The sequence below is a fragment of the Homo sapiens genome, chromosome 5 (genome assembly GCF_000001405.40).
Source record: "Homo sapiens chromosome 5, GRCh38.p14 Primary Assembly".
Lineage (NCBI taxonomy): Eukaryota > Metazoa > Chordata > Mammalia > Primates > Hominidae > Homo > Homo sapiens.
Window position 1 is genome coordinate 42,970,177 of NC_000005.10, and position 13,982 is coordinate 42,984,158.

The following is a 13,982-nucleotide window of genomic DNA, read 5'->3' on the forward strand; positions in this document are numbered from 1 at the left end:
ACATAGAAAGGCCTTTTTAAATATCAACAAGTTTAAGTATTTATATGCACATTTCATTCATCACTCTAGTGCCCCCTCCTCAGTTTTTTCATCAGGGAATATTTCTCAAAATTACAGGGCAAAATCATAATATGTTAGCATTCTGAATCCAGTAATATACTTTTTAAAAATGCATCATAATCTAATGGAGTTTATCAGGAAGTCAACTTGGGTCTGTCATTTGAAAATCAATTTGTTATTGTCCACATTAGCAGTAGAAAAAATATATGATAATCTCAGAAGATACAAAAAAAAGCTATTTGAAAATTCAACCCTGTTTTATTATTAATATAAAAATCATCATAGCAAATTGAAAAAGAGAATTCCCTTAATCTGATAAAACATATCTGTAAGAGGTGTACACCTAACATCTCATCTAATCGTGAAATATTGAAAACTGCCAATTTCTTATTGAAATGAAAAAAAACTGCCAATAACTGGACCCATTTTCTCACCCCCGCCCCCCCACCCTGTTACCACCTGATCCAATAAAAACCCAAGGACTTTCAATAGGACCTTCCGGAATGATAACATTTTCACCATAATCCTTTCACGGTCTGAAGCAATGAGCAAGGCAAATAAGTGTTAATCCCCACATGATTGGATTATGTCCGACTTCCTGTACAAGACAGAATGCTATAAAAACCCACAGTCAGTGATGGATTGAGCCATTTGCTCTATTCCTAGACTAGCTAGGCCTGGTCAAGTCTTGGAAGGCTGAAGCTATGGAGTTCCATCCATCAACCTTGGAAGAGCTGTCTTGGAGGCAAGCAGGTCCAGAGCCCCATATACCACGGGACCTGAACCGAGAGCAAGCCTGGGCCTGGGCACTGGATAACTTCCCTGTGCTGAGCCGCCACTCCTGCCAATGCCATCAGCTCTACGGGAGCTCTGCTGGGAGCTGGCGGCTGCACCGCGCCTCCACCGGGCACGGAGCCCTTCCCGGAGATGAGAGGGGCCAAAAACGGCCTCGAGACTCCCATGTCGAGGAATCAAAGGCTGAAACCACAGACGGGCTCCAGTCACCTCAAGAAGACGCAAATGCTACCGACGGCGAAGTCCAAAGCTGCCTGATGCAGCCTGGAGATGCCAGCGCCTGCGGAGGTGGAAGGACACAAGCCCATGGCGCCCTCTGCAGTTCAGGCCGCCCCCGGAAGCTGCTGAAAACCCAGGGTTCCATCAGGAAGGAACCCGGAAACGAGAGGAACCCCAGCCTTTCTGCAAGCCTGCGACACTACCCGCTTCAAGGAACACTGTGCTGGAAGGAGCCTGAGGCACACCAGTGGGGACCCTCATTCTGTCCCTGCGGACTTTTACACTGGAACTGTGCCCTGCACCCACAAGAGCCTGGAGGTCTCTGCTGTGGAGATCATTCCTTAATTGGTTCTTCCTCTCCTGAATGTCCTAAACATTTTTCATTTAGAGAAACTCTCTTCATGTAATGAATATTATGCAATGAGCTAAAGAACTGTTCTTGTAGATGTACTCAAAATTGCTATGGCTCTTCCATTGAAACTGTACATGTATTGAATAAAGCCTTTCCCTATTCTCCACCTGTGGAATTGATTTCAAGCTGGTAAATCAAGATTGGTATAGATGGGCCTGAAGCAGACAGAAAAGGGGCAGGGACCCAGCTCAGAGGCCTTTTTTTTTTTTTTTTTTTTTTTTTTTTTTTTGATGGTGTCTTGCTGGCTGGGTCGCCCAGGCTTCCGTGTAGTGGCGCAATCTTGCTTTAGTCTAAATTCCAGGGGGCCTTTAAGGAGCTGTGGATACTAACACAGTGGGAGGGGACAGCTGGTTGGATCACTTGCTGGAGTTGCTTCAAAACTGACTGTGGCCCTCCAGATGAAGCCAGGAAATAGACATTAACAGTGTTCTTTACATCAGGGGCCCCTAACCTTTGTGACACCAGAGACTGGTTTTGGGGAAGGCAATTTTTCCATGGGTGGGGGGTTGGGGAGACAGGGATGATTTGGCGATGAAGCTGTCCTACCTCAGATCATCAGGCGTCAGATTCTCAGGAGAAGTGCGCAAGGTAGATCCCTCGCATGCGCAGTTCACGATAGGTTTGGCGCTCTTATGAGAATCTAAGTCACGTCAGATAAGCGGAGCTCAGGCGGTAGTACTCGCTTGCCTGCCAGTCACCTCCTGCTGTGTCGCAGGTTTCCTAACAGCCACCGACCGCTAAGGTTCGCTGCCTGGGGAGTTGGGGATCCCTGCTTTAAATGGTTTAAAGGTTACCTTGTCATAAGGGGTGAAAGAGGGGTTTGGGAAGTCCCTCGGGTGAGGCCGATGGTGCCCGCATACTGCGAGGCTGGCTGCAGTGCTCTTTATGGCGTGGGGCAGATGTAACCTCTTTGCCTCATTTTCCCCTGCGGTCCCCAGACATTTCTCGGACTGTCTGCAGCATCAAGATATGGGCTTCAGAGCACGTTTTTAGCACCCGTGGGAAACTGTTACAACAGCTGCAATGCAGAAATATCCAAGCCCTGTGAACCCGAGCGTGGTGTGGGTTGACGTGTTAAACAGACGTATAGATCCCTCCAGAGAGTTGCACAGACTTCTCCGCACAGTGGGAACTGCAAAACTCTTACTGGTGCAGCAAAACGCAAAACATATATACTAGAATATTCTGTAGTTAATCCTGTAGAGAAAACAATGGAACTTAAATCTACTAATATTTCACTTACAAATATGATTTCAGTAGATGAGAGATTTATACACAAACCACATCATCGGGACCCCCCAAAAAACTATTTTGACTCAAGAAGCCATAATCACTGAAGAGAGGTAGCCTCAGCAGTTACCTTGAAGGACTGATGGCAAGAACTATACCTTCAAATGCTAATAAAGGCCGAGAAGCACTGAAATGGGTCATACATAAATTACATGTTAAGACTGAAGAATTGACAGCTTCCGCCAAGAGGAAGCATAAGAACTTCGATGGCAGCGGCGGCGGCAGCATTTGTAGAGAATTGATAATGAAAATGTGAAGACAACGTCAAGTACTCCACGTCTCTCCAAGCGGGCAATATATTTATTTTAAAAATATAAATATCTTTTAAGTAGAATTTTTTAAAGTAGGCTGATATAAGAATGTGACATTACATCAAAACAAAGAGATGCATGGCTTCTAAATAAAAGCGATCACCTGAAATTCGTGTTGTTTGAAATGACTGTCTGATTTTGAGGATTCCAGTATTTATGTGAAAATATAACGATTTTTTGAAAGCAATCCTTTTTAACGTTCATTTTAACTTCAGGGTGCATGTACAGCTTTGTTAAATAGATAAACTTTTGTCATAGGGGTTTGTGTACACATTATTTTATCACCCAATTATGACGTCTCCTGCCCATTAGTTATTTTTCCCAATCCTCTCCCTCCTTTCACCATCCACCTTCAATGGCTCCAGTGTCTGGTATTCCCCTCTTTGTGTCCATGTGTTCTCATTATTCAGCTCCAGCTTATAAGTGAGGACATACGGTATTTGCTTTTCTGTTCCTGCATTAGTTTGGTAAGGATAATGGCCTCCAGTTCTGTCTATGTTCCTGAAAAAGACATGATCTTGTTCTTTTTAATGGCTGCATTGTATTCCATAGTGTATATGTACTATATTTTGTTCATCCAGTCTACCTTTGATGAGCATTTTGGATGATTCCATGTCTTTGCTATTGTGAATAGTGCTGCAATGAACATACACATGCATGTGTCTTTATGATATGACAATTTATATTCCTTTGGGTAATACCCAGTAATGGGATTTCTGGGTCAAATGATATTTCTGTTTTTTGGTCTTTGAGGAATTACCACACTGTTTTTCACTAAGTTTGAAATAATTTACACTCACCAATGGTGTATAAACAACATTTTAACATTTTTTTAAAGTGCTTGGAAGGTGGCATTGATGTTGAATCAAGATAGAATTTTAAAACTTTTCACACATTGCACCCCTACCTGGCTTTGGTCCCATGCCAGAACAAAGCAGAGCCATCTCTTATATACACTCAATTGTCCTGTTGCTGTAAACTTCAACAGCTTGCATGAGGGAATTCAATTTAAAAGGAGAAACTGTGTAGTTTTCAAAGACCTTAATTCGTATAAAATAACTTGCTCTGCTATAAACCATTATTAAAAACCAGTGTTTTGGTTTAGTACTTAAATATATTTGGAGCGAAAATTATCACTAGAATAATATATGTCTCTAATAAAAATATGCTTTTATTGTAATAAAAAGTACTACATTGATTTCCCAAAGTTTTGCAACCCAATAAAGACGTTACCTTTCTTGGATTTGTACTTCTTGGTTTAATATACTGTGGCATGGGCTGGTTGGTTATGTTAACTGGGAAAATAAATTCCTTACTTGAAAATCAAAATAAGACAAATAACAAGGAGTGGGGGCAGATTAAAGAGGACCAGAGGAAGATTCTTAGCTTTGTGCCTTCTGAGTTAACAACCACAGCATTCCAGGGCATTAATTCCAGATCAGACAATTCCAGGCAGCTACAGAAGTCTGCCCTGGTGAGTCTTGCCCAGGATCTGGAAGTGCAAGATCAAAGCGCCAGTGATTCAGCTCCTGGTGAGGGCTGTCTTCCTGTCTTGCTGATCGCCATGTTGTAGCTGTGTTCTCACATGGCACAGAGAAAGAGGGAGAGACAGAAAGGGGGAGAAAGTGAGAGATGGAGAAGGGTAGAGAATGAGAGAGACATAATATCTCTTCCCCTTCTCATAAGGGCACTAATCCCATTATGAAAGCCCAACCCTCATAACCTCATCTAAACACAATTGTCTCCCAAAGGCCCCATCTCTAAATACCATCACCTTGTGGATTAGCTAAACGAAATTATCATGAATTTTGGGGAACACAATTCTGTCCATAGCACCAAGTCTATGTGATGCTCGCTCTCATAATCTCTGCCCATCTCAGGACCTACAGCAACTAAGACTCATTTCTTTCTGCAGGCATTTCAGAAGACTGTGATATAAAAATGTGCCATAGAGAATACATTCATTTGGGACTTTTAAACTCTCCTCTTCCCTCAAATACCTTAATTAATAAATTAATTAATGTTAACATCTAGTTTATGGGTTCCAATTTAACACCCATAAACTAGATGTTGACACTAAATTATTTATTTATAAATTTATTTTAATTTATTGTAATAAAATAATTGATTAATTAATTTTGAGATAGTGTCTCACTCTAACACCCTGGATTATTTGGGTTATTTCAGAGTGTCCCTCTGGCAGGTGGTATTGTTTCACATTCATTGCTCGCCTATATGGGGGCAAGTATACAGGCATCCATTGGGTCCATCCCTGTTTATTCCTTGATTACCTTCCAGACTGGACCTTATTCAGCTCACTGAGATTCACTAATGCTTAACTCGTAGCATAGACTTTATTTCACATTAATTGGTTTAAAAGTGTGACCAATGCCCTATGTCATAATTCTTTTTAACTCGGAAATAACTCAGACATTCAATGGTATCTGAAATAATTTTAAGATTTTAAGTTACATTAAAAGATCACTGGCGGGGCGCGGTGGCTCACGCCTGTAATCCCAGCACTTTGGGAGGCCGAGGCGGGCGGATCACGAGGTCAGGAGATCGAGACCATCCTGGCTAACATGGTGAAACCCCGTCTCCACTAAAAAATACAAAAGATTAGCCGGGCATGGTAGCACGCACCTGTAGTCCCAGCTACTCCAGAGGCTGAGGCAGGAGAATGGCGTGAACCCGGGAGGCAGAGCTTGCAGTGAGCCGAGATCGCGCCACTGCACTCCAGCTTGGGCGACAGAGCAAGACTCCGTCTCAAAAAAGAGAGAGAAAAAAAAATTAACCTACAAGCATTGATTTTATTTATATTTACTCAATTTATTCATTTGTAGCAGTTTATCTAGATTAGTTGTTAGAACTGAGACATTAGACAATCATCGCTCAAAGTTTTTTTTTTTTTTATTAACCATTTGCATAGCCTGTGAATATCAGGTGTTTGCCTAAGCAAAAATCTTAAACACATAGGCATTTTTGCTGATAATTCAGAAAAATTAGCTGTTCTTATGGAACCAACAATGTTAAATTTGTCTTATTTATCAAAAAAGTCATTCAAAGAAAGAGGATTCTGTTTTTGGTTGAGTTTACGGTCTTATAATACTCATGTCAAATCCTTGCTCTTTAAAATATCTAGCAAAGGCAAATATAAAACTCATCTAATTAGTAAACCCAGACAAAAATGTATGCCTACAATTCTGAAGACATTTCTATTTTTATTTTGTCAATAATTTTAAGGCAAGCTTATTATTAAAGATTACTAAATTCACATAAATTTGAAAAGCATTTGGGCTTTCTTACTAAATTTATGAGCACTCATTTACTTATAAACCAATGTGGTGCCATTGTAGACATAACAGATAATACATGTAACATACACAGAAAGACGTATCCATACACACAAAGATCAAATGGATGTTACTGTGAAACTCTAGCCATGACATGGCATCAGAAACTCATTATTTTACAGAAGACAGCTGGATCCGAATTATTTCTGACAAAATTGGGACCTATCCTCATGGCTAAACTTTATCTGCCCTGATAGGTAATCCAATTAATGCTGTGGACAAAAACTTTGGGTAAAGCAGTTTCCAAAGCAGTTTTATTTTTAAAACTTTCTTAAACCTTTTTGTTTGTTTGTTTGTTTCAAATACGTTTCCAATGTTTACTTCTTAGCTAGAACTGGCTGAACGGCATACAAAAAACAAGCTCTCCAATAGCCTTGAATTAGCAGTATTATAAAAGGTAAGAGCACGAAAATGGGCCTTAGCTTCTTCTCAGTTTGGGAAGATGTTACAGTGCCAGTATTATCTCATAACAATTGTAATCATGAACAGAATCTGATAAATCAAAATGGTGAATCAGGAATGGGCATCTGTGGAGGGGATCCTCTGGCGATCAACATCCATATGGGGTGAAGTTGCCTGACTCAACAATTGTGGGCCGCTGCTATTTTCACCCTTTCAGTGATTAAATGTTAAAATACCTGACAATACCAAGTGTTAGAGAGTATATGAAACTTTAGAGTATCTTATGTATTGTAAGTGGGAACATGTGTGGTACCATCACTTTGAAAAAGAATCTGTTGTCTTATGAAGCTGGAAGTCACATATCTCAAAACCTACCAATTCCATTTCAGAGCACACTCCCAAGAAAAGTTCTTGCACATAAATGCATACCAGGAAATATGTAAAAGAATGTTGGTATCTTCGCTTTTAACAGTAACAAAAACCTGATGGAAAGGGAGGATCCAAAACTCCATTATTAGGAGAGTGGATGAAAATTATTATGGTATATTTTCAAAATGGAGTATTTTACAAAGTCCAAATAAGTAAATCAAATTACTCAAAAGTCTGGTTGCACCATAACAATATAATGTTCAGTAAAAAAAAAAAAAAATGGTTGATAAGACTACATAAAGCATGGTTATATTTTATAAAGTTAATATTTTTAAAATGTCCATTAAAATATGTAGATACATAATGATAAATAAATCTAAATTAAAAATAAGCAATTGAATAACGAACTCAGAATTCGCCCTGGTTATGTTGATTTAGAGAGTTGGGAGAAGGGATACAAAAAATTATATCCACAAAAAATTAAATTGAAAGATAGACCTTAAATTTACACCAAAAATGAATTTCTTAACACTGAATGGCAAAATCACATTTACCCATCCATCCACAGACAAAACTGCACCACCTAAAATCTCCCTGAGTGAGGCTGTGCCTCTACAAAATAGAGAAAATGGAAAAGCATGCACACTACAAAACTACAACAAAGTGTATTTTCCAAGCAAAGCAGACTAAAAGAAAGGGAACAGAATTGGAGCGACCAAACTTTTTAAGTCCAGGTCTGCTCCCAAGCTCTACATCAGACAATATTTGCGTTAGATAATTCTCTGTGCCATGATTTCCAGTTGAGAAGTAAATAAGGTAAAGTAGAAACTACACTTGGCAGAGGGCCTGTCACAAATTACCATTCAATATGAACTACTCAATCTTGGGGGAGAACTAAAAAATAGGGCAAGAATATAAAATTGCTTATAAGAAGTTACTTTATGGAAATTGGAGGGGGGAAATCATTTCCCCACATAAACAATTTTTTTCAATGTTTTGAACTACTCTGTAAAAAGAGAAATGCAATCATATTAATATATTTTAAAAATTACAACTCTAAGCTCCTTGTTATTGACAAGAAGTAAACAAAGTAAAATGACACCAAGAATTAAAAATAAAGAACTGAATACCTGAATTTAATCAATTTTAAGGTAAGTCATAAGATAAGTCGTTTGCCATTTTCATATCTCTGAAACAGGTATACATTTTAAATCTGCTGATCTTTCAGGACTGTGACATAGTTTAATTAGCAGATTTTTCTTAGTAGTATTGAAATAACGACACATCCCTCTCCCTCCCCCTCCCCCTCCCCCTCCCCCTCCCCTTCTCCCTCTTTGCACCGTCTCCCTCTGATGCCCAGCCGAGGCTGGACTGTACTGTCGCCATCTTGGCTCACTGCAACCTCCCTGCCTGATTCTCCTGCCTCAGCCTGCCCAGTGCCTGGGATTGCAGGCGCGCACCACCACGCCTGACTGGTTTTTGTATTTTTTGGTGCAGACGGGGTTTCGCCGTGTTGGCCGGGCTGGTCTCCAGCTCCTGACCGCGAGTAATCTGCCAGCCTCGGCCTCCGGAGGTGCCGGGATTGCAGACGGAGTCTCGCTCACTCAGTGCTCAATGGTGCCCAGGCTGGAGTGCAGTGGCGTGATCTCGGCTTGCTACAACCTCTCCCTCCCAGCTGCATGCCTTGGCCTCCCAAAGTGCCGAGATTGCAGCCTCTGCCCGGCCGCCACCCCGTCTAGGAAGTGAGGAGCGTCTCTGCCTGGCCACCCATCGTTTGGGATGTGAGGAACCCCTGTGCCCGGCTGCCCAGTCTGGGAAGTGAGGAGCGCCTCTTCCCGGCCGTCATCCCGTCTAGGAAGTGAGGAGCGTCTCTGCCCGGCTGCCCATCGTCTGGGATGTGGGGAGCGACTCTGCCCCGCCACCCGTCTGAGATGTGAAGAGCGCCTCTGCCCGGCCGCGACCCCGTCTGGGAACTGAGGAGTGTCTCTGCCCCAACGCCACGCCGTCTGGGAGGTGAGGAGCGTCTCTGACCGGCCGCCCCGTCAGAGAAGTGAGGAGCCCCTCCGCCCAGCAGCCGCCCTGTCTGGGAAGTGAGGAGTCCCTCCGCCCGGCAGCCGCCCTGTCCGGGAAGTGAGGAGCATCTCGCCCGGCAGCCGCCCCGTCCGGGAGGTGGGGGCAGCCCCAGCCCGGCCAGCCGCCCCGTCCGGGAGGTGGGGGCAGCCCCAGCCCAGCCACGGCCCTGTCTTGGGGGTGGGGGGCGCCTCTGCCCAGCCGCCCCGTCTGGGAAGTGAGGAGCCCCTCTGCCCAGCCGCCACCCCGTCTGGGAGGTGTACCCAAGAGCTCATTGAGAACGGGCCATGATAACGATGGCGGTTTTGTGGAATAGAAAAGGGGGAAATGTGGGGAAAAGAAAGAGAGATCACCCCTCCCCCTCCCCCTCCCTCTCTCCATGGTCTCCCTCTCCCTCTCTTTCCACGGTCTCCCTCTGATGCCGAGCCGAAGCTGGACTGTACTGCTGCCATCTCGGCTCACTGCAACCTCCCTGCCTGATTCTCCTGCCTCAGCCTGCGGAGTGCCTGCGATTGCAGGCGCGCGCCGCCACGCCTGACTGGTTTTCGTATTTTTTTGGTGGAGACGGGGTTTCGCTGTGTTGGCCGGGCTGGTCTCCAGCTCCTAACCGCCAGTGATCCGCCAGCCTCGGCCTCCCGCGGTGCCGGGATTGCAGACGGAGTCTGGTTCACTCAGTGCTCAATGGTGCCCAGGCTGGAGTGCAGTGGCGTGATCTCGGCTCGCTACAACCTCCACCTCCCAGCCGCCTGCCTTGGCCTCCCAAAGTGCTGAGAGTGCAGCCTCTGCCAGGCCGACACCCCGTCTGGGAATTGAGGAGCGTCTCTGCCTGGCCGCCCATCGTCTGGGACGTGAGGAGCCCCTCTGCCTGGCTGCCCAGTCTGGAAAGTGAGGAGTGTCTCTGCCCGGCCGCCATCCCATCTAGGAAGTGAGGAGCGCCTCTTCCCGGCCGCCATCCCATCTAGGAAGTGAGGAGCGTCTCTGCCCGGCCACCCATCGTCTGAGATGTGGGGAGCGCCTCTGCCCCGCCACCTCATCTGGGATGTGAGGAGCACCTCTGCCCGGCCGCGACCCCGTCTGGGAGGTGAGGAGCGTCACTGCCTAGCCGCCCCGTCTGAGAAGTGAGGAGACCCCCCGCCTGGCAACCGCCCCGTCTGAGAAGTGAGGAGCCCCTCCGCCCGGCAGCCACCCCGTCTGGGAAGTGAGGAGCGTCTCCGCCCGGCAGCCACCCCGTCCGGGAGGGAGGTGGGGGGGTCAGCGCCCCGCCCGGCCAGCCGCCCCGTCCGAGAGGGAGGTGGGGAGGGTCAGCCCCCCGCCCGGCCAGCCGCCCCGTCTGGGAGGTGAGGGGCGCCTCTGCCCAGCCGCCCCTACTGGGAAGTGAGGAGCCCCTCTGCCCGGCCACCACCCCGTCTGGGATGTGTACCCAACAGCTCATTGAGAACGGGCCATGATGACAGTGGCGGTTTTGTGGAATAGAAAGGGGGGAAAGGTGGGGAAAAGATTGAGAAATCGGATGGTTGCCGTGTCTGTGTAGAAAGAAGTAGACATGGGAGACTTTTCATTTTGTTCTGTACTAAGAAAAATTCTTCTGCCTTGGGATCCTGTTGATCTGTGACCTTACCCCCAACCCTGTGCTCTCTGAAACATGTGCTGTGTCCACTCAGGGTTAAATGGATTAAGGGCGGTGCAAGATGTGCTTTGTTAAACAGATGCTTGAAGGCAGCATGCTCGTTAAGAGTCATCACCACTCCCTAATCTCAAGTACCCAGGGACACAAACACTGCGGAAGGCCGCAGGGTCCTCTGCCTAGGAAAACCACAGACCTTTGTTCACTTGTTTATCTGCTGACCTTCCCTCCACTATTGTCCTATGACCCTGCCAAATCCTCCTCTGCGAGAAACACCCAAGAATGATCAATTAAAAAAAAAAAATAAAGCTGTTTAAACACAAAAAAAAAAAAAAAAAAAGAAAGAGATCAGATTGTTACTGTGTCTGTGTAGAAAGAACTAGACATAGGAGACTCCATTGTGTTCTGTACTAAGAAAAATTCTTCTGCCTTGGGATGCTGTTAATCTATAACCTTACCCCCAACCCCGTGCTCTCTGAAACATGTGCTGTGTCCACTAAGGGTTAAATGGATTAAGGGCGGTGCAAGATGTGCTTTGTTAAACAGATGCTTGAAGGCAGCATGCTCGTTAAGAGTCATCACCACTCCCTAATCTCAAGTACCCAGGGACACAAACACTGCGGAAGGCCGCAGGGTCCTCTGCCTAGGAAAACCACAGACCTTTGTTCACTTGTTTATCTGCTGACCTTCCCTCCACTATTGTCCTATGACCCTGCCAAATCCTCCTCTGCGAGAAACACCCAAGAATGATCAATTAAAAAAAAAAAATAAAGCTGTTTAAACACAAAAAAAAAAAAAAAAAAAGAAAGAGATCAGATTGTTACTGTGTCTGTGTAGAAAGAACTAGACATAGGAGACTCCATTGTGTTCTGTACTAAGAAAAATTCTTCTGCCTTGGGATGCTGTTAATCTATAACCTTACCCCCAACCCCGTGCTCTCTGAAACATGTGCTGTGTCCACTAAGGGTTAAATGGATTAAGGGCGGTGCAAGATGTGCTTTGTTAAACAGATGCTTGAAGGCAGCATGCTCGTTAAGAGTCATCACCACTCCCTAATCTCAAGTACCCAGGGACACAAACACTGCGGAAGGCGGCGGCGGGGCGCTCTGCCTAGGAAAACCAGAGAGCTTTGTTCACATGTTTATCTGCTGACCTTCCCTCCACTATTGTCCTATGACCCTGCCAAATCCCCCTCTCTGAGAAACAGCCAAGAATGATCAATAAATACTAAGAAAATAAAAAATAAAAAAAGAAATAATGACACATCTTACAATGACTAGTTTCTTAGATTGAGGAAATTATAATTCCAGACAAATGTTAAGCCAAAGAAGGCCAGTGTAGCTCTAGTACTACATTGGCTTAGCCTCTCTCTTCAAATTACTTAGCTTGCTGAAATAATCCAATTAGGCCATCTGGAAAAAAAAAAAAAAAAAAAAAAACACAAGACAAACCAATACAAAAGATGTGCCTGATCGTTACAGGACCAACAGGTTTGGATATCTGCTGTGCAGTAACATAAATATATACCAAAACACTGAAACAGCAGGGCTTACAGCAGAAAAAGAATGTAATGATAGCAGGGCAGCCAGGTGAGGAAACAGGAGGGACCCTCAAATCCACCTCCCTGAGAAATTCTGGTCTGGAGGTGTTTGTTTTTGTTTTGTTTTGTTTTGTTTTTAACAGAATCTTGCTCCATCACCCAGGCTGGAGTGCAGTGGTGTGATCTCAGCCCACTGCAACCTCTGCCTCCCGGGTTCAGGCGATTCTCCTGCCTTAGCCTTCTCCTGCTTCAGCCTCCTGAATAGCTAGGATTACATGTGTGCACCACCACACCCGACTAATTTTTGTATTTTTAGTAGAGATGGGGTTTCAGTGGTCTCGTACTCCTGACCTGGTGATCTGCCCACCTCAGCCTCCCAAAGTCCTGGGATTACAGGAGTGAGCCACCGTGCCCCGCCCAGCTCTGGAGTTTTTAAGGAGATTGTGGAGAGCAAGAAACTGAAAAATTGGGGTCATTGATTGTTTGGGGTAAAGGGGATGAAATCATCAAAATATAGAAACTGCATTCTTCGGTGAGCCAGCTCCTCATGGGGTCTTTCAGACTAGCTGGCATCAATAGTTTTATCAGTCTTCAGGACATAAGAGAATATATCAAATGAAAACCTTGACATTTTACAATGTTAAAGGTGTTCTCTACAGAGCAGTTAAGGGAAACTATAATCTTGTGATTGGGTCTGCATAATTCTGACAGGGTATAATTATTCTGCATAATTATTCTCATAGTTTGGGGCAATAAGCACCAAAGAACTATGAGCAAGAAGGCCAGAGAGCAAGGTGACCTAATCATTAATGCTGAATGTACTGCAGTCTTGATATATTTTTTATTCTCCTTCTCCCATTTTCCCTGATTAACTTTATAAAGTTTATAGGAATGGTTTCATGACTGTCATTTCCATTCAGAAATTAATTTAAAGGAAAAATGTTAAAATAATTCCTGGATATCTTTTCAAATAATGTATTATATTTTATTTCTATTATTTCATTGTGTAGCAAACACCACTGTTAGGAATACATTTGAGAATATATTTGGAAATGCAAAATGGCAAAAGGCATTACATCACTCGTCCAAGGTGCAACATTAGCATATGCAGCCGAGACTCCATCCACCTCTTTTTTGGATAATGTAATGTTAAAACTGGTAGTTACTGATGAGAGGAATTGCAGTGGAAGTAGGAATAACAGAGGAAGGAGAATAACTTAAAAAAATGCATATAATCACATAACATATAAGGGTCTTGAAAAAAAATACTGTAAAAAGCATCATATTAGCTCAACATATTTGCCCTTTTTTTTATTTTTATGTTTTTTGAGATGGAGTCTCGGTCTGTCGCCCAGGCTGGAGTGCAATGGCGCGATCTCCGCTCGCTGCAAACTCCGCCTCCCGGGTTCACGCCATTCTCCTGCCTCAGCCTCCGGAGTAGCTGGGACTACAGGCGCCCACCACCGCACCGGATAATTTTTTGTATTTTTAGTAGAGACGGGGTTTCACCGTGTTAGCCAGGATGGTCTCGATCTCC

At 44.4% G+C, this 13,982-nt stretch overlaps 1 pseudogene, besides 2 other annotated features; it reads left to right on the top strand.

The window, feature by feature from the left end:
* On the top strand, positions 2,393-3,258 carry PRELID3BP7 (PRELI domain containing 3B pseudogene 7; annotated as a pseudogene).
* Positions 10,573-11,398: an enhancer, noted in NCBI's record as "NANOG-H3K27ac hESC enhancer chr5:42980851-42981676 (GRCh37/hg19 assembly coordinates)". NCBI's record gives its function as "activates a minimal SCP1, AML or CMV promoter by ChIP-STARR-seq in primed H9 embryonic stem cells {active_cell/tissue: H9 hESC(primed)}" and the evidence as "EXISTENCE:reporter gene assay evidence [ECO:0000049][PMID:30033119]".
* Positions 11,399-12,224: an enhancer, noted in NCBI's record as "OCT4-NANOG hESC enhancer chr5:42981677-42982502 (GRCh37/hg19 assembly coordinates)". NCBI's record gives its function as "activates a minimal SCP1, AML or CMV promoter by ChIP-STARR-seq in naive and primed H9 embryonic stem cells {active_cell/tissue: H9 hESC(naive and primed)}" and the evidence as "EXISTENCE:reporter gene assay evidence [ECO:0000049][PMID:30033119]".